General features: G+C 47.6%; 1 protein-coding gene across 6 annotated transcripts in view, besides 2 other annotated features; it reads right to left on the reverse strand.

The window, feature by feature from the left end:
• ACSBG1 (acyl-CoA synthetase bubblegum family member 1) overlaps positions 1 to 25,024 on the reverse strand; it is a 67,098-nt gene that overhangs the window by 4,671 nt on the left and 37,403 nt on the right. For 5 of the 6 annotated variants that reach the window (XM_017022025.3, NM_015162.5, XM_011521390.4 and 2 more), the window contains 11 exons: positions 22,368 to 22,588; positions 21,794 to 21,882; positions 21,368 to 21,488; positions 10,567 to 10,647; positions 10,328 to 10,477; positions 9,831 to 10,007; positions 8,617 to 8,798; positions 7,412 to 7,642; positions 6,476 to 6,693; positions 2,247 to 2,386; positions 1,455 to 1,701 (listed from right to left, as the gene is read on the reverse strand). In XM_017022025.3, coding sequence (XP_016877514.1) covers positions 1,455 to 1,701; positions 2,247 to 2,386; positions 6,476 to 6,693; positions 7,412 to 7,642; positions 8,617 to 8,798; positions 9,831 to 10,007; positions 10,328 to 10,477; positions 10,567 to 10,647; positions 21,368 to 21,488; positions 21,794 to 21,882; positions 22,368 to 22,588 — 1,857 coding nt within the window. The remainder of the gene's footprint in view (positions 1 to 1,454; positions 1,702 to 2,246; positions 2,387 to 6,475; positions 6,694 to 7,411; positions 7,643 to 8,616; positions 8,799 to 9,830; positions 10,008 to 10,327; positions 10,478 to 10,566; positions 10,648 to 21,367; positions 21,489 to 21,793; positions 21,883 to 22,367; positions 22,589 to 25,024) is intronic. The other variant, NM_001199377.2, reaches the window with a different exon arrangement.
• Positions 23,545 to 23,594: an enhancer, noted in NCBI's record as "active region_9912". NCBI's record gives its function as "activates an Ori minimal core promoter by ATAC-STARR-seq in GM12878 lymphoblastoid cells {active_cell/tissue: GM12878}" and the evidence as "EXISTENCE:reporter gene assay evidence [ECO:0000049][PMID:35858748]".
• Positions 23,755 to 23,814: a silencer, noted in NCBI's record as "silent region_6707". NCBI's record gives its function as "represses an Ori minimal core promoter by ATAC-STARR-seq in GM12878 lymphoblastoid cells {active_cell/tissue: GM12878}" and the evidence as "EXISTENCE:reporter gene assay evidence [ECO:0000049][PMID:35858748]".

The following is a 25,024-nucleotide window of genomic DNA, read 5'->3' on the forward strand; positions in this document are numbered from 1 at the left end:
GACTGCACCCAGCTCACATTGACTGTAATCCCGTGAGACCCAAGCCAGAACCACTCAGCTAAGCTGTTCCTGGATTCTTGACCCATAGAAATGTGGATAATAAATGTTTACTGCTTTAGGCTGCTACATTTTTGGGGTCATTTGTTACACAGCAATGTATTAGATAGCTAGTACACATCATCTCTGCATTTTTGTGAACGTTTATACAACGTTGGACATTATGCTTTGATGGTTGTGATGGGGGTAGGGGAAGCCCAGGTTATGGGGAGCCTCTGCCATGGTCTTTATGAGAGGTCTTCCCCTAATTACTTTTCTTAACCTTGATTTATCCCCCAAAAGCAAGTTTGAAAGAGCTCTGATTTGAGGTCCTGGGTAGCTTAAAGTGCCTAACTCACTCTTGACTGTGTAACTGGAAACTTTCTGTGTTAAAGTCATTATATTAACTGCTTAGTGAAGACATCTTCTGTCTCTCTGACCTTGCGTTCAATATGCTGGCAGCAGACAGCCAGATAAGCTCAAGGTCTCTGATTGCAGCTCAGCTTTGCTGTAGACAATTGCATCTGGGTTCAGCCGTGATGGATTTGAGGGAATCACACTGGCATAACCATTTCTACCTCTCCTGTTCTATGAACATCCCATGAACATCTCTTGGCTACAGCCAAGAGTGACTTCAGCTGAGGCTGCACCAGAGCCCTCTCCTGGTTCTGTGGGCAGTGGTCCGGAACAGCCTTATCCCTTTGTCACACAAGCTGACTTTCCGGAAGATCACAGTACTCTCACCCCTAGAACCACGTGACTCCAGGCTGAACACTAGCAGGGCCTTGGTGTTGGCCTGGTAGTTCCATTGTGATTTTCGGAGAAAACAGTCCCATAGTCAAGGCCAAGTTAAATGTCATGTTCAGATTAGAAAGTTCTAGCACATATCAGCTGGGCGCAGTGGCTCACGCCTGTAATCCCAGCACTTTGGGAGGCCGAGGCGGGCGGATCACCTGAGGTCGGGAGTTCGAGACCAGCCTGACCAACATGGAGAAACCATGTCTCTACTAAAAATACAAAATTAGCCGGGCATGGTGGCCCATGCCTGTAATCCCAGCTACTCGGGAGGCTGAGGCAGGAGAATCACTTGAACCCGCGAGGTGCAGGTTGCAGTGAGCCAAGGTCGTGCCATTGCTCTCTAGCCTGGGTGACACAGCGAGACTCCATCTCAAAAAAAAAAAAAAAAAAAAAAAAAGGAAGTTCTAGCACATATCTTATACATTCAACAGACTCCACATAACCACAAGCCCATGCATGGAGCCATCAATGTCCTCTAACAGGAAGTAGATGGGTGTCACCCAGATTCCTGCCATGACCTTCTCTTTGCCGTGGCTGCTTCCTAACAGGCACCTCCTAGGCACTGCCATGGCCTCTGCCTTCCCACACAGCCCTTGCAATGGTGAAAAGGAAAAACCTACCCAACTCTCCACCCGAAATGGAGAAGTCTCTCTCGAGAATGGCCCACTTCTGGATGTGGTAGGGCCGGGCCGCCGCGTTCATGTTGACCCTCCGGATCCCCTCTTCGATGGCCTGGTACACGGCCTCATCCTTCTTCTCTATGATCTCGGACACTGTGGTGGCTCTGCTGCCCACCCTCTGGCAGAACTCCATAGCTTGTTCAGTCAGATTATCAGTCTGGTCAGAGGTGTCTGGGTCCAGAGTGCACTGAAAAGCCAGAGATCAGATGAGGACCAAGCCTTACCCAACAAGACGTAAGCCCTGGTCCTGGAGGAGGTCTTACTGCTGTCGGCAAGGGTGTGAATCATGTGAGCTCTGTTTCAAAGAGACGGTTCTAGAATGAGTAGCTGCTACTGTGTTGAGCCTCGTGTTATTGTGGAAGGAGCAGTGATCTGAGAATTAGAAGAGCTCGGTCAGTGACGTCATTGTCTGTAAAGCAGGGACGGTAACTCCTGCCTGTCTACCACCCTGGGGTCCAAGTACCTGCAGAGAGCAATGAGGGAGGGCAGCAGCACTTTGTAGACGGGAAAGTGCCAGTAACATGTAAAGGATCATCACGGTGGCTTATGTGGGACAGAAGGAATTTCCACGTGCCACAGTTTTTCCTACAGTGCAGGCAGCACGGACTTGAGTCATTCCAGAATGAAGCCATGAGATCTGGATGTGCCCTGTGCTGAATGTGGCTTCTGCCAGCCAGACCCACAGACCCCCTCACTGGCTGCTCCTTCTGAGCTGGAGCCCCCCAGACACACCTTCAAGGTGAGCAGCATGGACAGGAACTTCCTCTGGTCCCCAATGAGCATGGCGTTGCTGATGATGGGCAGCTCCATCTTCACGGCCTCCTCGATGGGCACAGGGGGCACATTCTCCCCACCAGCTGTGATGATTAATTCTGGGGAGGCAAGGCCAGGCCCCCGGCACAGAATGTAGTCCAGGTGCCCCAGCTGAACCACAACCCAAGCCTCAACCACAACCCGGAAGCCTCAGCACAGCTGGAGATGCCCCCTTTCTGGGAGCCAAGAAGCAGTGGCAGGCCCTCCAAAGCAACTCACACCTGCTTGGGGGCTGGTGGCAGCACCCCGACGACAAATGCTCACCCAAGTTTCCCTCTCCTCGGCTTGTCATCCACGACTCAGCCTGCTCAGACATCTCATCCATGGCCCCCTTCTGCCAGTCCCAGTTCCTGCCCCCAAATAGCCCGTGTCATTTCCCTTCCCTGCCTTTGCTTAATAACTACCATCCCTGTCACTCACACAGCACTCACCACCATGCTAAGCACTTCACATGCAGTAATTCATTTAACTGTCACAATAAACCAATAATGAAGCAGACACTCTTATTGTTTTGCAGATGAGGAAACTGAGGCACAGAGACGTTCAGTAACTTGTCCAAGCTCACATGCTAATAAGTGGCAGAGCTAAGGTTTTAAATCCAGTCCATTTCCAGAGCCCATGCTCTCACCTGCCCTGCTAGGATGGCTCTCCCCTTGCTTGTACCCTTCTCCCTGGAAGGTCCTCTCCCCTTCTTTCCTTCTGTCCAACAGACTGCCAGGCACTCAGTGCCCTAGCCTGCTGTTGTCTGATAGTACTGATGGCTTACTTCTAGGCTAGATGGCAATAAATTCAATAAAATAAATTTAACGAATGTACATTGACTAATTTTAGTGAGACTGTACTCCTGTCCCTCATTTCTATCTAATTCAAAAAAGATTAATTGGTCACATTCTGTGCACAGGTCCTGTGCTGACATCAGGCACAGAATAGAACAAGGCTGCCCATGGCTGCAAGGAGCCCACAGTGCAGCGGGGCAGTGAGACAGAGGGAGGCACAGGGGCTGCAGGGCCAGGGCAGGGAGGCACCAGGCCCAGCTGCATGCTAAACATGAACGGGAGTTGGCAGGCAGAGGGCAGGACAGAAGCTGAAGCTCACAGGCCTTAAGGGAACTGCAGGTAGCAAGTGAGACAGAGGCTGGAGAGGAGCAGGGAAGATCTTAGAGGCCTCCAGTGCTGGCTCAGGAGCTGGATTGTGTGCAGGCAGCTGGGAATTACTGAATGGTGTGAGATCAAAGTTTTAGGGTACTCTGGTAGCTGGGGTGAAGAGTGGTTATTCAGGGACAGGCTGGCTAGAGAGGAATCCATGGCAAGTGTCTATATGATCAGGGTTTGTCTAGGACAGCAGAAGTCAGGTGAAGAGGAGAAGACAGACTCTGGAAATGTGGGAAGACAAAAACCCAGCCTCCCCAAAATATGCCTCATCATTGCTACCTCATTCCTGCCCTTTTCTCCTCACTACGGCCCTCTGCATTCTTACCAGCATCTTTTACCATTAGTAAATGATTAAAAAAAACCCTTAGCAAACTAAGGCTAGAAAGGAACTTCTTTAATCAGATAAGGAACATCTAAAAATTTTTACAGCAAACATACTTTTTTTAAGATTTAATAATTTTTTTTTAAATAAATAGAGACAGGATCTCACTATGTTGCCCAGGCTGGTCTCGAATTCCTGAGCTCAAGCAATCCTCCTGCCTCAGCCTCCCAAAGTACTGGGATTGCAGGTGTAGGCCACTGTGCTCAGCCAAACATACTTAATGATAAGTTAGTGAATGCTTCTCCCCTGAGATCAGGAACAAAACAAGGATGACCACTATCACCACTTCTATTCAACACTGTCCTGGAGGTCCTAACCTGTGCAACATGGGAAGAAAAAAATTCATCTGCTATTTGCAGATGATATAGTTGTGTCCATAGGAAATTCAAAAGAATATACACATTACTGGATTGAATATGTGGTCTGATCAAATGATCCACAAAAGGTCATTTGATACAAAGCCAATATGCAAAAAGCAGTTGTATTTCTATATACCAGCAGCAAACAAATAGGAGAAAAAAAATTTTGCGGCAACATCTGAGCTGAAAAAAAAATTTTAAGTGATATTATTTAAAATACCTTAAAAAATTCTTAGAAGTAAATATAAGGAAAGATGTGCAAAAATCTCTACACTAGAAAACATAGGCTGGATGCAGTGGCTCACACCTATAATCCCAGCACTTTAGGAAGCTGAGGCAGGAGGATGGCTTGAGCTCAGGAGCTCAAGACCAGCCTGGGCAACATGGCAAAACCCTGTCTCTACAAAAATAAAAAATTAGCCAGTTGTGGTGGCTTGCACCTGTGGTCCCAGCTACTTGAGAGGCTGAGGCTGGACCGGAGGATCACTTGAGCCCAGGAGGTAGAAGTTGCAGTGATCCGAGATCACGCCAGTGCACTCCAGCCTGGGCAACAAAGCGAGACCCTGTTTCAAAAATAAATAAATAAATAAATAGGTAAATAAATAAATAGCACATTATTGAGAGAAACTTAAAAAGACCTAAGTAAATGGAGAGATTTATCATATTTGTGAATTGGAAGAGACAATACTATAAACATGTATTTTTCTCACCAAATTGATCTATAGATTCAATGAAATCAAAATCAAAATTCCACCCAGTTTTTGAGGAAACATATAATGATTCTAAAATTCATATGGAAATGAAAATGGCCAAGAATAGCCAAGGTCATCTTGAAGAAGAAGAAGACCAAGGCTGTAGGACTTAGCCGGATATCTATCCCTGTCATAAAGCTATAGAAATTAAGACACTGGGTATTGGTGCACGGATAGGCGAATAGACCAAGGGAACAGAATAGAGTCCACACATAGACCTCTCATAGACAGTCACTTCATAAAGGACAAAGGTATCACTGCAAGGCCATGGGGAAAGGATGCTGTGTCCGTTGGATATGTATTTGGAGAAAAGCTATTTGGACCCTTACCTCTCACTATACTAGTTCTAAAAGGAGGGCCGGCTCTGGTTGAATTTGGTTTTCTGGCTACTATCCTCCCCCATGCAGGGATGTGGGTCCCCTCATCGGCCATTACAAAGAGGCACACTAGGCGGCGCCCATGGCACATCCAAGCAGTCACCTGTTGCTCCCGGGGTCTCACTGGAGGGTACCTCCAGGGCTCATCAGCCTGCACATCCCAGGGCCCAAACGCCACCGCGACCTTTTGTCCCTCCCTGGGGTGGCCGAGCCTCCATGGCCATCAGTTGGGTCCTGGGCATGGTCGCACACTGCCTGCATGATGTCCACAAAGTAGTTTACCCACTCAACTTAGCTTCAGTTTCCCCCATGAAGCCCTGGTGCAGGATTCCCACGTGGATGCTGCGGGCATGACACCAACTTGGGTGAAGCAGGCAGAACATTCTTCCACAGAGGCATCCCCAACTATTTCTGTCTCTGTGGGAAGTTTGTCTTATTTTAAATTTTATATCCAATTTGCATTCTATTCCCCATCATATCCATGTTTGCATATAAAAATACATAATACTTACGCTCCTGAATCTTCTGGAAAGACTTGCCTTGTTTCTCTAGGGGTCTGATTTCCAGCTCTGCCATTTACTAGCTGGGTGACCTTAGGCAAGTTACTTAACCTCTCTGGATGTCCTCATTAGCAAGTTAAGGTTAATAAGTACCTGCCCCATAGGAGAGTGGAGTAAATAAAACGATGTCACTAAAGGTGCCATCTTAATAAAGGCTCAAGACCAGCAGCTGGTGTAAACAGTGCTGGCAGTGGAATTCCTGCTCCCACCCCACTGCAGCTGTCCAGGGCGCTTGCCTTTTTTTGTTTGTTTGTTTTGGTTTTGTTTTTGGAGACAGAGTCTAGCTCTGTCTCCCAGGCTGGTGTGCAAAGAGGCAATCTCAGCTCACTGCAACCTCTGCCTCCCGGGTTCAAGTAATTCTCGTGCCTCAGCCTCCCGAATAGCTGGGATTACAGGTGCATGCCACCACGCCCAGCTAATTTTTCGTGTGTTTTTAGTAGAGATGGGGTTTCGCTGTGCTGCCCAGGGTGGTCTTGAACTCCTGAGCTCAGACAATCTGCCCGCCTTGGCCTCCCAAAGTGCTGGGATTACAGGCATGAGCCACCGTGCCTGGCCTGGGGTGCTCACCTTTGAGGCGCCCAGTGATGTAGAGGAAGCCATCGGCGTCCAGGCGGCCAGCATCACCCGTGTGCAGCCAGCCTTCCTCGTCGATGGCCTCACAAGTCTTGTCCTCCATGTTCAGGTAGCCCATGAATATGGTGCGGCCCCACAGGCAGATCTCGCCAATGCCCTCTGCGTCCTGGTTCACCAGCTTCACCCGACAGCCGGGCACCAACTTGCCTGAGCTGGCGAGGGAGGGGCCGGGAGACTGGTCAGAGGGAGCCGTCTCCTCCAAGCCCCCACTGGGGAGCCGGGGTCCCAACTGCTCGGTCTTCACTGATTGCTAGAAGGTATCCCCTCACAGGGCTTTTGTATTTTTACAGGGGACTTACAGCTGAAAGGTAGAGCCAAGTAAAGGGTTTTAGGGAATGAAGGAAGGAAGGAACAAATGAAATGGTAATGGTAGAACTTGGAGCACTGTGATAGGCTGGCAGGGAGAGGAGATATTTAATCATAATAGATGATCCTGCAAATCACTCCCCAGAACTGACCGCCCTCACCGTCCATTAGGAGGCTGGCCTGGTCCCCCCAACTCCTACCCCAGCTGGCCCCTGGGCCATCTGCTCTCCTAGAACACACTGGAGCACACCCCACTCCAAAAGAGGGAGGGGCCAGAGGAAAACTGCTCCATAGGTTCAGGGGGCACCTGGGCTATGCAGGCTGTTTTCAACCACAGACTCACGACACGGTGGCAGAGGCCACTCCTACTAGACTGAGGATAAGCTAGGGACTTGGCCCAAGATGGCATTGTTGGCTCTCAGGGGCTCCATAGCCCAGTGGCCAGGTCTCTGGGACCCAACTGGCATGCAAAGAGAAGGGGATCCCCAGGGCACTCAGCAGGCGGGCACAAAGTACCAGCAAGGGCGCATGGGTGTGCATGTGTGTGGCAGCCTCGAGCCTCACCTGTACAGCCGGTAGTTGTAGGGACTGGACATGAAGTGGGGGCCTGAGGTCTCACTGAGGCCGTAGCCCGCATACAAGCGGATGTTGAGACCCAGGAAGAAGTGCTGTGTCTCTGCCATCATGGGGGCCGCTCCATAGAAGTTCTTTTGACACTTGGCAAATCCCAGTGCCTGGCGAACCTTGGCTAGCACCAGGTAATCTGCCAGTCTGGTTGTGAAGGGCTTCAGGTCGCTGGTGGGAGAGGGAGAATGGTTCACAGAAGAAATCACACACACACACACACACACACACACATACACACATTAAAAGGGTGGTATGGTGGTATTCAGTGAGAACACCCTGGCTCGGCCATTCCAGTTGTCTGTTCCAGTTGGTTGGTTTGAATATTGAACCTGCCCGTGAACATGCATGCAGATGTAGGTATGCAGGCACATGGTTGTGTGCAAATATGTCTTGACCCAGGAAGTCAAACAGATTCAGCTGTGTACAGGTGTACGGGCAACAACACAGACACATGCCATTTTGCACACACAATACACATGCACAGAAACTTGAAGTATGTATTCATGTATACACATGTACAAACGTGGGACCCCAGTGAAGCCCACAAATGCTTTGTTCGTGCATGTTCATGTTTCGTGTCTGTGCAAATGAAGCTGTGGATGCACAGATATGTGCACACATCTCATGAAACATACCATTTCACAGGCACATGGGGAATGGAAACTACTTCTAAATTGAAACCAAGCCAGCTTTACGTCACTGACCCTCCATAGAACTATGTGGGAATTTTGAAAGCTATAGAAAGATAGAAAGGGCAAAATATCTGAGGGGTCACTTGGGATGCTGAAAAGGCCGGAAAGGCTAAGTCCTGATCACTGTGGCCCCTTCTCCAGCCACTTACTGAGGTCAGGAGACCTCAGGAGATTGTGCCAGAAGCTGCTCCTAGGGAGGTGAATTTCACTTCAGAGAAAGCAAGTTACTCCTCCCAGTCAGAATCCAAAGGTGGAGCGACTGTCCCCAGCAGGCCCTGGGAAACGCACAGGAGCTCAAGCCCAGTCATTGATGGGGCCTCTGCACGGGGTCTCCAGAGCTGCCCGGCCACTGGAACCGGGACAGGCATGGCGTATCAGACCCTCACTGTGTTTTGGGTTATGACCCAGCCCACTCTCTCCCCAGGCCTCCCGCCCGTGGGCCCTCTGTACCTGCCGGGGCAGGTGAGGTTCTGCTCCAAGGTCACCGACATGGCCCACAGCAGCATCTTTCGCCGGATGAAGCCAGACTGAGCCGCCACCTCCTGGATGCGCTCCATGATCTTCTCCCATACCCGGGGCACCCCCATGTGTGATGTGGGCTCCACCTCCCGCAGCGTGTTCACCAGGCTCCCCTGTTCACACCAGAAGAGGCAGGCCTGTTGGGTCAGGGGCATCTGGGGCCCAGGGGTCCCCTCTTACCAGCCAGGCATGCCGGTGGCACACACATGCTCCAACGGGCACCCACACACACCTGCACGCAAGGGTGGCACATACTGTTTCCTCAATGGCTGTCGCCTTGCTTTTTGCTCACAGAACCCTGGTGGCAGGCAGCAGTCAGGCAGCCAGTGCTGACCTCAGTCTCATCCCAGCCCTGAGCATGGCAACTCTCCATGAGTCTAACTTAGACACAAGAATCCCATTCCCCTCGGCAGCATATGGTTTGAGAACAGACAGGTGACACTTTGGGACACTGAGATGCTGGTGGAGGGAAACTTGCTGGGGGGTTTCTGGGAAAGTTTTCCTCACAGTTAAAATAAGGGTCCAAAGAACAGGTATATCCTGTGAAGCTGGGATTCAGGGAAGGGCTGTAGCCTTCTGGTGATACTCTGAGGATGCCCGTCCTTGATCGTGTCACAAGTCCCGCGAACCACTCTGACTCGACCTTATGTAATGGCATCAGGTTTCTTTTTTTTTTTTTTTTTTTTTTTTGAGACTGGGCCATGCTGTTGCCCAGGCTGGAGTACAGTGGCGTGATCTCGGCTCACTGCAAGCTCCACCTCCTGGGTTCACGCCATTCTCCTGCCTCAGCCTCCCTAGTAGCTGGGACTACAGGCACCTGCCACCACTCCCATCTAATTTTTTGTATTTTCAGTAGAGATGGGGTTTCACCGTGTTAGCCAGGATGGTCTTGATCTCCTGACCTCGTGATGTGCCTGCCTCGGCCTCCCAAAGTGCTGGGATTACAGGCGTGAGCCACCGTGCCCGGCCTAGTTTCCCTTCTTGTTTGGTCATTCGAGTCAGGCTGTGCCCACTGCAGCTGACAGAATTCTGACTGATACATGCACAGGAACAGCACACACACAAATGCACTCAGGGCCCACAGACACATGTGGACGTGGCCTGGCACACGGGCTCAGACGGACACACGGTAAAGGCAGACTGACCTTCAGGGCGTCGGGTTCGGCAAAGCAAACCTGGGCCCCCCACTGGATGCCTGTCCACAGGTCGTAGATCTGGGCGGCAATATGGCTGAGGGGCAGGTAGCTGACTACCACCTCCTGCTGGACTTCTGCCGGCCGGATGTCACCGGCCTGGCTGCCGTACCGTGCCGTCCACGTGATCTGGAGGACAAGTAGATGGATCCCAGCAGTGTCCACAAGCCAGCCCTGGCGGTGCTCACAACTGTGGCCACCCTGGGGGCCAGCCCCAGTGTGGTGCCCCCTGTGGCGATTCTGCAGGCTCTGAAAACCCCAGGACAGGCCTCCCCTCCCCCTTGCTGAGCTCAGTCTGGGCCACAGATTGATGGGCTGTTCTACCTATCCCAGCTCCTAGAGCAGAGGGGCCCAAGGAGCTTTCCCAGGGGCTACTGGGGCAGAGCCATGGCCCAGATCCACCCATAACCCCCTTGCACCCCCCCCACCCCACCGGGCATCTGTCCTACATTGTCTTGACTCAGCATCACGCCCTTGGGGTTCCCAGTGGTGCCGGAAGTGTAGACTAGCACACAGCACTGGTTGGGCTGCTGGGTGTCAATGATGGCGTCCAGGGCTTCCTCAGGCACTTCATTCCCCAGCTCCATGAATTCCTCCATCTGTAGCCAGATGCAGGGAGCAGGCAGGCTAGGTCAGCTGGGTGGGCCCAATAGGCCCCACCTGGCGCCCAGGGCCCCACTGCCCATACCGTGTACACATTGGCCATCTTGTTTGGAGGAGGTTCTTTATATATCACGACTGCCTTTAGATGTGGCAACTGTTTCCAGATCTGCATTGACAGGAAAAATAGATCAGGTTTCAGTAAGAGAAATGTCACCTTCTAAAAAGTACCCCATCTCCCTGTGTGAGTCGGCTTAGTAAAGGTCTCTGGGTGCCCCGTCTCTGACCTTCGACCCCAGCAGGACAACTGCCACCCTTCACCCATAGTTTCCCTCCTGAGAACTTGGGAGCAGTAAAGGTGGGGATAGCCAGGGGACTGGGGATGACTCCCCATTGAAGGAAAACCACCAAACAAGCTGGGGCTTGGTTGAACAAACCATGATCCAGCCACACAATGGAGTAGTGCTATGTGACTGTAGGAGAAAGAGGGAGAGGAGCAGAGGGCAGAGGAGAGAGGGAGAGAATTCTATGTGCAGAGAGTGAGTGGTTTCTAGGATATATTATTAAGTGAAAAAAGGAAGTTTACAATATGCGCATAGTATGCTATATTTGTGTAAGAAAGGGGTGCAATGTAAATATATGTATGCAAACAAGTATTTACTTATGTTTACAAAAAGAGGCCGGGTGTGGTGGCTCACGCCTGTAATCCCAGCACTTTGGGAGGCCAAGGTGGGAGGGTCATTTGAGGTCAGGAGTTCGAGACCAGCCTGGTCAACATGGTGAAACCCTGTTTCTACTAAAAATACAAAAATTAGCCGGGTGTGGTGGTGCATGCCTGTAATCCCAGCTACTCGGGAGACTGAGGCACGAGACTCGCTTGAGCCCGGGAGGCAGAGGTTGCAGTGAGCCGAGATTGCTCCTCGGCACTCCAGAGAGAGACTCTGTCTCAAAACAAACAAACAAAAAGAAACTCGAAGGTTAAACCAAAACCTGATTGAATTCACTGTGTATAGGAAGAGCGGGAATAAAGGGAAGAAGAAAGGGATGGAAGCAAAAATTCTTTGAGTGTTATCTCACATGATTTTGACTTTGGAATCATGTAAATGTCTTAACCATTTGAAAAATAAAGTTATATGTAAAAGGAAGTCAGGTGTGGTGGCTCATGCCTGTGATCCCAGCTACTTGGGAGGCTGAGGCAGAAGGATTGCTTGAGGCCAGGAGTTTGAGACCAGCCTGGGCAATATAGTGAGGCCGTATCTTTGGGGCGGGGCGGGTGGGGCGGGGAACACTACAAAATTTTTAGAAAGGGAAAAAATGAGTTCCTAAAACTTGAAAACACTCTGAAAGAAATAAGTTAGCCCAAGATCAAGGAACCAGAAGAAAAAAAAAGAAAGAAATGAATTAGACTACATACTAAGTTAGTAACATAACCACACACACACAGAATTACATCAAGATCAAGGAATTTTATAATAGTACACTTTGATTCCTCTTTTTCAGTGGCACTCTAAAGGCAAAAAGGAATTTCAAATTCTATGCAATAGTCTTATTGGTTTCTGGGGTTTTGTTTTGTTGGTTTTGTTTGTTTTGTTTTGGAGACAGGTTCTTGCTCTATGGTATGATCATGGCCCACTGCAGCCTCAAACCCCTGGGCTCCCATGATCCTGCCTCAGCCTCCCGAGTAGCTGGGACTACATGTTCACACCACCACATGTCGCTAATTAAATTTTTCCTTTTTTTTTTTGTAGAGACAGGGGGGTCTCACTATGTTGCCCAGGCTGATCTTGAACTCCTGGGCTCAAGAGATCCTTCTGCCTTGGCCTCCCAAAGTGCTGGGATTATACGAATGAGCTGCTGCACCTGGCCTTATTGTTGGTAATAATACTGATAATACTATTTCAAAATTATTTGATATATACTGTAGGATTATGTTAATCCTATAAGGAACTAAGATTTTAAGGTAAAATAAAAGAAATACAAGAATAAATAAAGTAAGCTAAAACCTCACAATATAACATTTGAAAAGTTATAGAAATAACAGAAATATCAGTGTGAACTCCTGATTTTTTGCTAAAATATATATTCCTGAGACTTCTGATTCTGATCACAAGGGAGTAACATCCATCGTTGCACTGTAAATACTAGGAAACTGGACAAATAGAATAGCTGGGTGGGCCCAGCAGGCCCCAGCTGGCGCCCAGGGCCCCAGTGCCCATACGGTGTACACATTGGCCATCTTGTTTGGAGAGAAAGCAATTGTTTTCAGATACTGGACTACAGACAGCTCAGGACTGATATCCCTGAGAGAGGGAAACAGATGGGGTGAGCCTCTAAGTGTGCCCCAGCTTTCTGCCCAGGGGCAATTTTTGAGCTATGGGAGAGACAGACAGAGGGAGAGAGAGGGAGAGAGAGGGAGAGAAAGGGGCGGAGGGGAGGGAGAGAGAGAGAGAGAGAGAGAGAGAGAGGAATACAGAACCCAGTTGTCTTACTGAGTTGAGGTGACCAAGATCAGAACTCAGGAAAGCTGAGGCGGCTAGAATTTGTGAGATAGAATACCAGCAGACAGGAGAGAACTATATAGAGAAAGAGTTCTAGAAATTCTTTTAGGGTCTTTGATTGACTCCCCATCTGCTCATGCATAGGGTGAAACTCCATGAAGCTGGAGGAAGACCAATGACCAGGGCTGGAAGTCAAACAGCAGCTGATGTAGGAATTGCTCATGTTTCCCCCCACCAGCATGGAGGGACCCCATCAGGCATTAAGCAGAGCCCAGAAGGGTCATGTCTTAGTGATGAGGCTAAATTAGCCTTAGAGTAAAGACTACCTAAAGGCCTGGCCTAAAAAGCCTTAAACATAGCCTCAAAATAAAGTTCAGAAAGAAAAAAAAATGGAAAAAAATTACTTGTGGGACAATATCAAAAAATCAAATATACATGTAATTGGAGTCCCAGAAAATTTTTTTAATTGAAAAACAGTCTGAGAAATTTTCAAATATAAATTGGTGGATTAAAACTATAAATCTACCAATTTCAGAAGGTGAATGACTCCTAAGCAGAATAAACACAAAGAAAACCACCTTAGGATACAACATAACCAAATTGCTGAAAATCAGCAAAAAAGGAAAAAAATCTTAAAAGCAGCCAGAAAAACAAAACACTATGTGGAGAGGAACGAAAATAAGATATCGTAGACGTCTTGTTAGAAATGATGCAAATAGAAAACATTGAAATGAAATATTTAAAGTGCTGAAAGAAAAAAAAACCCACCCTGTGAACCCATAAATCTAAATCAGATAAAATGACTTTTAAAAAATGAACAGAAAAACAAGCACCTTTTCAGACAAAGACAAGCTGAAAGAATGTATTGCCATCAGACCTGTATTATAAGAAATGTTAAAGAAAAGTTCTTAGTCTCTTTGTAGGTCACTCAGGACTTGCTTTATGAATCTGGGTGCTCCTGTATTGGGTGCATATATGTTTAGGATAGTTAGCTCTTCTTGTTGAATTGACCCCTTTACCATTATGTAATGGCCTTCTTTGTCTCTTTTGATCTTTGTTGGTTTAAAGTCTGTTTTATCAGAGACTAGGCTTAGACTCCCACACAATAATAATGGGAGACTTTAACACCCCATTGTCAACATTAGATCAACGAGACAGAAAGTTAACAAGGATACCCAGGAATTGAACTCAGCTCTGCACCAAGCGGACCTAATAGACATCTACAGAACTCTCCACCCCAAATCAACAGAATATACATTTTTTTCAGCACCACACCACACCTATTCCAAAACTGACCACGTAGTTGGAAGTAAAGCTCTCCTCAGCAAATGTAAAAGATCAGAAATTATAGAAACTGTCTCTCAGACCACAGTGCAATCAAACTAGAACTCAGAATTAAGAAACTCACTCAAAACTGCTCAACTACATGGAAACTGAACAACCTGCTCCTGAATGACTACTGGGTACATAACGAAACAAAGGCAGAAATAAAGATGTTCTTTGAAACCAACGAGAACAAAGACACAACATACCAGAATCTCTGGGACACATTCAAAGCAGTGTGTAGAGGGAAATTTATAGCACTAAATGCCCACAAGAGAAAGCAGGAAAGATCCAGAATTGACACCCTAACATCACAATTAAAAGAACTAGAAAAGCAAGAGCAAACACATTCAAAAGCTAGCAGAAGGCAAGAAATAACTAAAATCAAAGCAGAACTGAATGAAATAGAGACACAAAAAACCCTTCAAAAAATTAATGAATCCAGGAGCTGGTTTTTTGAAAGGATCAACAAAATTGATAGACCGCTAGCAAGACTAATAAAGAAGAAAAGAGAGAAGAATCAAATAGACACAATAAAAAATGATAAAGGGGATATCACCACCAATCCCACAGAAATACAAACTACCATCAGAGAATACTACAAACACCTCTACTCAAATAAACTAGAAAATCTACAAGAAATGGATACTTTCCTTGACACATACACCCTCCCAAGACTAAACCAGGAAGAAGTTGACTCTCTGAATAGACCAATAACAGGCTCTGAAATTGTGGCAATAATCAATAGCTTACCAACCAAAAAGAGTCCAGGACCAGATGGATTCACAGCCGAATTCTATCAGAGGTACAAGGAGGAGCTGATACCATTCCTTCTGAAACTATTCCAATCAACAGAAAAAGAGGGAATCCTCCCTAACTCATTTTATGAGGCCAGCATCATCCTGATACCAAAGCCTGGCAGAGACACAACCAAAAAAGAGAATTTTAGACCAATATCCTTGATGAACATTGATGCAAAAATCCTCAATAAAATACTGGCAAACCAAATCCAGCAGCACATCAAAAAGCTTATCCACCATGATCAAGTGGGCTTCATCCCTGGAATGCAAGGCTGGTTCAATATATGCAAATCAATAAATGTAATCCAGCATATAAACAGAACCAAAGACAAAAACCACATGATTATCTCAATAGATGCAGAAAAGGCCTTTGACAAAATTCAACAACCCTTCATGATAAAAACTCTCAATAAATTAGGTATTGATGGGATGTATCTCAAAATAATAAGAGCTATCTATGACAAACCCACAGCCAATATCATGCTGAATGGGCAAAAACTGGAAGCATTCCCTTTGAAAACTGGCACAAGACAGGGATGCCCTCTCTCACCACTCCTATTCAACATTGTGTTGGAAGTTCTGGCCAGGGCAATTAGGCAGGAGAAGGAAATAAAGGGTATTCAATTAGGGAAAGAGGAAGTCAAATTGTCCCTGTTTGCAGATGACATGATTGTATATCTAGAAAACCCCATTGTCTCAGCCCAAAATCTCCTTAAGCTGATAAGCAACTTCAGCAAAGTCTCAGGATACAAAATCAATGTACAAAAATCACAAGCATTCTTATACCCCAATAACAGACAAACAGAGAGTCAAATCATGCGTGAACTCCCATTCACAATTGCTTCAAAGAGAATAAAATACCTAGGAATTCAACTTACAAGGGACGTGAAGGACCTCTTCAAGGAGAAGTACAAACCACTGCTCAAGGAAATAAAAGAGGATACAAACAAATGGAAGAACATTCCATGCTCATGGGTAGGAAGAATCAATATCATGAAAATGGCCATACTGCCCAAGGTAATTTACAGATTCAATGCCATCCCATCAAGCTACCAATGACTTTCTTCACAGAATTGGAAAAAACTACTTTAAAGTTCATATGGAACCAAAAAAGAGCCTGCATCGCCAAGTCAATCCTAAGCCAAAAGAACAAAGCTGGAGGCATCACACTACCTGACTTCAAACTACACTACAAGGCTACAGTAACCAAAACAGCATGGTACTGGTACCAAAACAGAGATATAGATCAATGGAACAGAACAGAGCCCTCAGAAATAACACCGCATATCTACAACTATCTGATCTTTGACAAACCTGAGAAAAACAAGCAATGGGGAAAGGATTCCCTATTTAATAAATGGTGCTGGGAAAACTGGCTAGCCATATGTAGAAAGCTGAAACTGGATCCCTTCCTTACACCTTATACAAAAATTAATTCAAGATGGATTAAAGACTTAAACGTTAGACCTAAAACCATAAAAACCCTAGAAGAAAACCTAGGCATTACCATTCAGGACATAGGCATGGGCAAGGACTTCATGTCTAAAACACCAAAAGCAATGGCAACAAAAGCCAAAATTGACAAATGGGATCTAATTAAAGAGCTTCTGCACAGCAAAAGAAACTACCATCAGAGTGAACAGGCAACCTACAAAATGGGAGAAAATTTTCGCAACCTACTCATCTGACAAAGGGCTAATATCCAGAATCTACAATGAACTCAAACAAATTTACAAGAAAAAAACAAACAACCCCATCAAAAAGTGGGCGAAGGACATGAACAGACACTTCTCAAAAGAAGACATCTATGCAGCCAAAAAACACATGAAAAAATGCTCACCATCACTGGCCATCAGAGAAATGCAAATCAAAACCACAATGAGATACCATCTCACACCAGTTAGAATGGCAATCATTAAAAAGTCAGGAAACAGCAGGTGCTGGAGAGGACGTGGAGAAATAGGAACACTTTTACACTGTTGGTGGGACTGTAAACTAGTTCAACCCTTGTGGAAGTCAGTGTGCCGATTCCTCAGGGATCTAGAACTAGAAATACCATTTGACCCAGCCATCCCATTACTGGGTATATACCCAAAGGACTATAAATCATACTGCTATAAAGACACATGCACACGTATGTTTATTGCGGCACTATTCACAATAGCAAAGACTTGGAACCAACCCAAATGTCCAACAATGATAGACTGGATTAAGAAAATGTGGCACATATACACCATGGAATACTATGCAGCCATAAAAAATGATGAGTTCATGTCCTTTGTAGGGACATGGGTGAAATGGGAAATCATCATTCTCAGTAAACTATCGCAAGAACAAAAAAACCAAACACCACATACTCTCACTCATAGGTGGGAACTGAACAATGGGAACACATGGACACAGGAAGGGGAACATCACACTCTGGGGACTGTTGTGGGGTGGGGTGAGGGGGGAGGGATAGCTTTAGGAGATAGACCTAATGCTAAATGACGAGTTAATGGGTGCAGCACACCAGCATGGCACATGTATACATATGTAACTAACCTGCACATTGTGCACATGTACCCTAAAACTTAAAGTATAATAATAATAAAATAAAATAAATAAAAATAAATTTAAAAAAGTAATTGGCAATAATAAGTTTTGGTCTGTACATTTCATACATAAATGTGGGATGTTGAATATAAAAGAACAAACAGAATAGTTGTAATAAAATACTAATACAAATCTTTAAAAAAAAAGAAAAGTTCTTAAGGCTGAAAAGATGATATCAGATAAAAACTTGGATCTACATAAAGGAAGACAGAGTATCAGAAATGGCAAAAATGTGGGTAAATATGAAACATATTATTTCCTTCTTTAAAATTTTCTCTGAAAGATACTCAGCTGGACTGGGTGCAGTGGCTCACGCCTGTAATCTTAGTACTTTGGGAAGCCGAGGTGGGCAAATTGCTTGAGCCCAGGAATTTGAGATGAGCCTGGGCAACATAGCAAGACTCTTGTCTCTACAAAAAATACAAAAATTCAGCTGTTGTCATCCATTTTACTTCTATAGAGGTTATAAACCCCACAAACATTGTTATTACTCTTGATTTCAACAGTTGAGTATCTTTCCTTCTTTCTTTTTGTTTTTTTAAGACAGGGTCTAACTCTGTCACCCAGGCCAGAGTGTAGTGTTGCAATCATGGCTCACTGCAGCCTCACATGCCTGTAGTCCCAGCTACTTGGGAGGCTGAGGTGGGAGGATTGCTTGAGCCCAGGAGGTTGAGGCTGCAGTGAGCCATGATTGCACCACTGCACTCCAGTCTGGGTGACAAAGTGAGACCCTGTCTTAAAAAAAAAAAAGAAAAAAGAAAGAAAGATACTCAACTGTTGAAAGCAAGAGTAATAACAATGTTTGTGGGGTTTATAACCTCTATAGAAGTAAAATGGATGACGACAGCTGAAAGGATGGGAGGGGAAGTGGAAGTATACTGTTGTATGGTTCCACATTTCATGGGAACTGGTATCTTGGAGAGTACACTGTGATAAGTTAAAGATGCATATTGTAAAATCAGAGCAAACACTGATATAGTAACAAAGGATAGCTAATAAGCCACTGAAGATCAAATGGAAGACCAAAAGAAAACAAGATAAAAAAGACAAAAAAGTCAGGAAAGAGGAGAAAAGGAACAAAGAATAGATGGGACAAATAAAAAAATAGCCAAATGGTGGCTATTTATACAAATTTCATCAGATTGGATAAAAGGGCAAGACTCAACTATGTGCTGTCTACAAGAAACTCACTTTAAATATAAAGACACAGCTAGGTTAAAATTAAAAGAACACAAAAATACATAATGCAAACATTAATTATCAGAAACCTGGAGTGGCTATATTAATTTGAGGCAAAATACTTTTGGAACAAGAATTATTACCAGGGATAAGGAGGAACATTTCTTAATGATCAAGGGTTAATTTATCAAGAAAACATAATAATCTAAACACGTATATGCCTAATAACAGAGCTCCAAAATACATAAAGCAAAACCTAATAGAACCGGAAGGAAAAATAGATGTCTACCATAATAATTGGAGATTTCCACATTCCCTTTCTTAGTATTTGATAGAGCAAGAAGACAGAAAATCAATAGAGATACAGAAGACAACATTAAAATACTACCAACCAACTTGATTTAATTAACATTTATAGAACCTTCTAGCCAACAACTGCAGAGTACACATTCTTTCAAATATGCATGGAACATTCACCAAAATTGATCATTATTCTATCACACCTACTCTGTACAAACAGAGTGTCTCAGGTACCAAAGAGCCCCAGGTAATGAGGGAAAGTTCTTTCTTTGGAGAATTCCAGCCAATGAATTAGAAATTCAACATTTTGCTACACCTAATAAAATAATTAATTTCAGGCAAACATCATCAAGGGATGCTAAAACCATCAGGAGAAAGGTTGATGGGGAATTTCACAGTGGAAGAAGAGAAGGTGGTCATGAAGAAGCCCAACATAACTGAAAGTAGTACCACCTGCCATCATGTGCCTCTTGAGGCGGTGCATTATGAAGGACATGGTATCACCTATGGGGTGACATAATGATTTAAAAGCACTTATATGGTGCTGCCATGGGTTGAATTGTCTCCCCCTCCACAACCCGCCGCAAAGAGATATGCCAAAGCCCTCATAGCTGGTACCTCCAAGTGTGACCTTATGTGGAAATAGGGTCTTTATGGAGGTAATGAAGTTAAAACAAAGTCATTAGGGTGGGCTTGGATCCAATATTCCTGGTGTCCTTATAGAAATGGGAAATTTGGACACAGACAGACACAGAAGGACGACGACGTGAAGACACTGTGAGAACGCCAGCTGAGGATGAAGGCAGAGGCCTGGGTGATGCGTCTACAAGCCAAGGAACACAAAAATGGCCAGCCAACCCCAGAAGCCACCCTTTTCCAGCAGCCTTGGCAAATGAATACAAGTGCCCACCAAGAGTCAGACACTGGTCTAAGAGTTACCCTCATACCAGCCCTTCCAGGTGACCTCTGCGGCTGTCACCATCCTCCCCAAGGCCACACTGCATTTGAGCTCTGGCAGGTCCAGCCCAAGTGTGTGTGTTCACCCACTTCTCTACACCACCTCTGAGTTTAAACCCTGCTCAGAGGCCTTTGTACGTCTATCCAGGCAGCTCTGAGGTCTTCCCGGGGCTTCATTTTATTTTGCCGTGAGCCAGAAGTTCTTGGCCTGGGCTGCCCACAGCCTCACCTGAGGCTATTTTCAAACTCACTCTGATTTGGGGATGCCCTCCAAGAGGTTCTGCCTCAAGGGTCTGGGCTGCAGCCTGGGTCTCCCCCAAGGATTCTGGCGCTGCCCTGCTGGTATCCCCCAAGGATACTGGCCCCACTTGCTTTTCTCTTTCAGGCTTCAGGAAACTTCTCCACTAGAAATGAGGATAGGCACCTGCTCTGGCTCCTCTGGGGATCCAGATCGCATAGTCTTGGAAGGTTGGAGACCATTTGTCCCACCCTCGGGCACAGATGGAAGGTGTGGCCCAGGTGACATCTCCAGAATCACAGGCAAGCCAACAAGTCAGTCTCTGAGGACTCCCTTGGGATGCAGGGAGCCCTTGAATGCCTTAAAGGCTGTTGGGTTCAGCTGGGACAGAGAGGTGTCCCCAGGCCACCACACCCCAGTATGGTGCATGCAGGGACAGAGCCAGTTAGGGGTGTGCCTTAGATCAGGAGGCATCATCAATGCTCCAGAAAAGCCCCCGCTGGCTCTAGAGGCACTCTGAGCTCCTGCTCTGCCCAAACTGTGTCTGACTTGGCTCAACCCCCACCCTGTGGCAGCCCTCACCACCCCCCATCACCCTGTTCCTCACCTAGACTTGAGTGCTCAAGATGTCACAGCCCTAAGCCACTCACCTGCACATAACCCTTCCACTGCCAGAGGACCCCGGCCCCCACAGCTCTTGCTTCCCTTTAGGGGAGACCCTGTCCCAAAGAGAAAGCCATGGAAGGCAGTGGCTGGACAGGAGTCCTACCCAAGGCCTTATCACCACTTCTGGGGCATGTCCCTTGAGCCTCCATTTCCTTGCCTGTCAAATGGGTAAGTAGCCGTTGCCCTGCCTTGCTTGCTGTGTATGCATTAGAGGGTTGCCGTTGAGGATGAGGACACTCTGGATGGAGGGCGGGAAGGTTCCGTGTGAGTTGGAGTGGAGGTGCATGGGGATACCCAGCATCTGACCCCATGCCCACTGCCTCTTCCCCAAACCTTCAGGATCTTTTCCAGCTGCTTCTGCGTGTCGACCATGATGACATTGGCGCAGCAGTCATAAGCGATGTACTGGCAGGCCTCTGGGGAGCTGGTGGTGTAGATGCCAGTGACGATGCCACTGTAGGAGACCCAGGAAGATTCACCTTAGGGGAGGTGCAGAGGGGCCACCCCCTTCCCCCACCCCCACATCTGTAGCCCCCAGACCCAGAGAGCTCCCATAGCCTGGCAGGAGGGGCTCCCAAGGCACCTGAGCACCTCCTCCCCTGCAGAGAGGGCGCCAGATGCAGGTCCACCAGAAGGCCCCAGGGAGGAGGCAGGATGGTGGGGAGTGGGTGGGGGCTGCTAAAAAGAGATAAGGACCCTCCCCTACCCTCTGCCCACTGCCAACCCCCTGGAGACCCCGTCCCTGCCCCCGCCACTCACCCTGCAAATACTGTGCCCACTGCCGAGAAGAACCACTCCGGGGAGTTGAAGCCGAGGATGGCCACACTGTGGGCCTGCTTCAGGCCGAGCTCCAGGTCAAAGGCAGACAGGCCAGGTCAGCCGGGCAGGGACTGGGACCCTCATGCCCCTCTCAGAGCCCCCACCCAGACTGCAGGGGACCTGCAGGCTCCACCCTCCCAGGGTCCCCTCAGTCAGAGAATCCCCTTGGAGGAGAAGGGGTTGGTCACTCAACAGCCCTCACTGCCCCTCCCAGGGCCTTCCCAGCGAGTCTGTCCGGCCCCTCAGCCCAGCACACTGGGCTTCCAGCCCACCCTGAATGTGATCACAAATGAAAAGTGAGTAACAAGTGCTTGGCACATGGTAGGGGCTCAGCAAATAAAAGCTCAGTACGGGGCCCAGCATGGAGTATCAGCCCCACGCACAATGACAGCTTTTACAGTTATTGTTCCTAAGAGCCTTGCCCAGTGGGCAGTTGGAGAGGAGGCCTGTGAGGCCCAGAGCTGGGAGGCACATCTGGGGAGGGGCAAGGCCTTGCCATGAGGGGCCCCCTTACCTTCAGGAAGCCCTTGGCGGCTCTGCGGGCGAGCAGGTAGTATTGGGAGTAGGAGATGTGTTCCCACTTGTCCTGGCGCTTGAAGCCCAAAGCGATGAGGTCCCCATACTTATCCAGGGCCTCGTAGAACATCCGATGCACAGTGTAGGGAAGCTGTGGGCAGCTGGGGTCTATGCGCAGGCGCACCCGCCCATCGGCCCGAGTCGTCCACAGCGCCTCCTCTGTGGGGTGGGGGAGACCACAGCTTGGATCATGCCAGCCTGGGGACACTTGTCCTGCCCTGGGCAGAGCTCGCAGCCCGTCTGGTGCTGACAATGCCTTGGGTCCTCGGCCTTGAGGCTGGCAGGCCAGGGTAGACTGGGGTAGACTGGGGTAGGCTGGGAGACCGCCTAGAGGAGGAGGTCTGACTCAGCCTTGAAGGAAGAGCAAAGTTTAGGGATGCAGCAAGGAAGAGGAGAGGAAATAACTGGAGGACAGACGGAAGTCCTAGACACTCTGTTCCTTCTTTTATCCCAATTGGAATTTGCCTCCCAAGGTTGGGCAGTGGAACTGTCAGATCTCCAGGTGCCTTCAGGGTATCTGTCTTTCCCTGCCCTCCTGTGAACAGGTTGGGGACAGATCCAGCTAGACAGAAGGTCAAAGCACCAAAGAGAACGACCCTCCCGAGGGTCTGGAGGAGACTGAAAACCATCAGCCCTGCTCTCCAGCCTGAAGTCTCCCAGTCTCAGAAAATAACAACAGTCTTTGCTCATTCTCCTCCTACAAATGAGGTGTCTCATTTAGTCTTCACAGCATGGGTTTGGAGAGCTCCACTGCACAGACGGGGCAGCTGCAGCTCAGAGAGGTTCAGTCATTTATCGAAGATCACACATCAAGGAAGTGCAGGGTCAGGATTTGAACTCAGGTGTACCTGATTCCACAGCTCACACTTAGGACATTGTCTGGGGTGCCACCCTGCCTTTAAGAGTCAGAGGCTTACTCTGTGTATGGTGGGTGGGAACAGAGGTCTACCACTTAGTATGCAAGACTTGGACAAGCCACTGAACCACTGAGTCAATTTCAGGGGAAAGATGAGGACTCAGTTCTCAGGGTGGACATGAGGATCAAGAGAAAGGGTGTATATGAAGAAGCTTTGACCTATGGCTGGTGCTCCATAAATGCACATTTTCCTTCTTCCTCTTTTTTCCAAATTTGCAAAGGAAGCTTGGATGGGTGGTCTGGACCCTTTGGTCCCGTGAGACGTCCTTTCCTTGGGGCAAGGGTGGTGGTTCCATGATGATGGTGGGAAGGGATGAGGGCTGGCCAGGACAGGTGGGGCTGCCCTGCCACCTGCTGGCCAGACCCACCTCGCCTATTCTCCTGTCACCGGTCCTTCCCTGAGGCAGACAAATGAACTAGATGAGCTTGTTCCTCCTCTTTGACACTCTTAGGTTGCATGCAGACTCAGGTTGGCAGAAAGAGGTAAAGATCTGGGGGCTGGGACAGGAGAGCCCATTCCTCCTCCTGTGGAGGGCCGGAAGTAGGGATGACAAGGACATATCCAGACCCAAACGGGATACATGGCAGCCTGCAGGAAATGCAGGCGGGACAGGGGAGGGTGCCAGAGAGGTGCTTGGCACCTCTGTATGGCAGAGGTTAAGACCTTCTGGGATGGATGCCCATGCCACTGGCCATGAGGGAGCCCTGAGCCTTCAGGTAGTGGCGTGAGTCAAGGGCCACTAGGCCCCGTCCAATCACTCCTCAGACCTCTCCAAGCCTTGCCCCATATCCCGGGATGCTAGCCTGGTGGACCCCGCTGATCTGCCTCTTCAGAGCCTCTAACTGTTGCATTTTGCTAAAGTCCATGCCCAGACCAGAAAGTCAGGTACACCTGGGTTCAAAAACCTCAATTCTGCCTCTGTGTGCTGTTTGACCTAACAAACCATTCTCTCAGCTGCATCTTCATCACCTGCAAATGTGAGGGGTTGATGAGGACATGGGGACACAGAAGCCCTCATACAGTGCTGGTGGGAATGAGATGGGACAGCCATGTGGGAAAACAGGTTAGCAGTTTCTTAAAGAGTTAAACATAAAACTACAGTACGACCCAACAACTCCACTCTTAGGTATCTACCCAAGAGAAATAAAAACACATGTCCCCACGAAGACTTACACACAGATGTTCTTCACAGCATTGTTTATGAGTCAAAAAATTGAAACAACCCAAATGTCCACTGACTGGTAAATGAAAAACAAAATGTGGTCAGAGAGTAGAATGCTATTCAGCTCTGAAAAGGAACAAAGTGGCCTGGTGCAGTGGCTCGCACCTGTAAACATGTGAGGAGACTGAGGCGGGGTATCACTTGAGCCCAGGAGTTCAAGACCAGCCTGGGCAACATAGTGAGACCCTATCTCTAAAAAAAAAAAAAATTAGCAGGGCATGGTGTTGTGTGCCTGTATTCCCAGCTACTTGGGAGGCTGAGGTGGGAGGATTGTTTGAGTATGGGAGGTCAAGGCTGCAGTGAGCCATGATTGCACCACTGCACTCCAGCCTGGACAACGGAGTGAGACCCAGCCTCAGAAAAAAAATTAAATCAAATTAAATAATAAATTAAAAAAATATAAAAAGGAATAAAGTATTGATAGAGGCTACAACATGGATGAAACTCAAAAACATG

This window comes from Homo sapiens, chromosome 15 (assembly GCF_000001405.40).
Source record: "Homo sapiens chromosome 15, GRCh38.p14 Primary Assembly".
Lineage (NCBI taxonomy): Eukaryota > Metazoa > Chordata > Mammalia > Primates > Hominidae > Homo > Homo sapiens.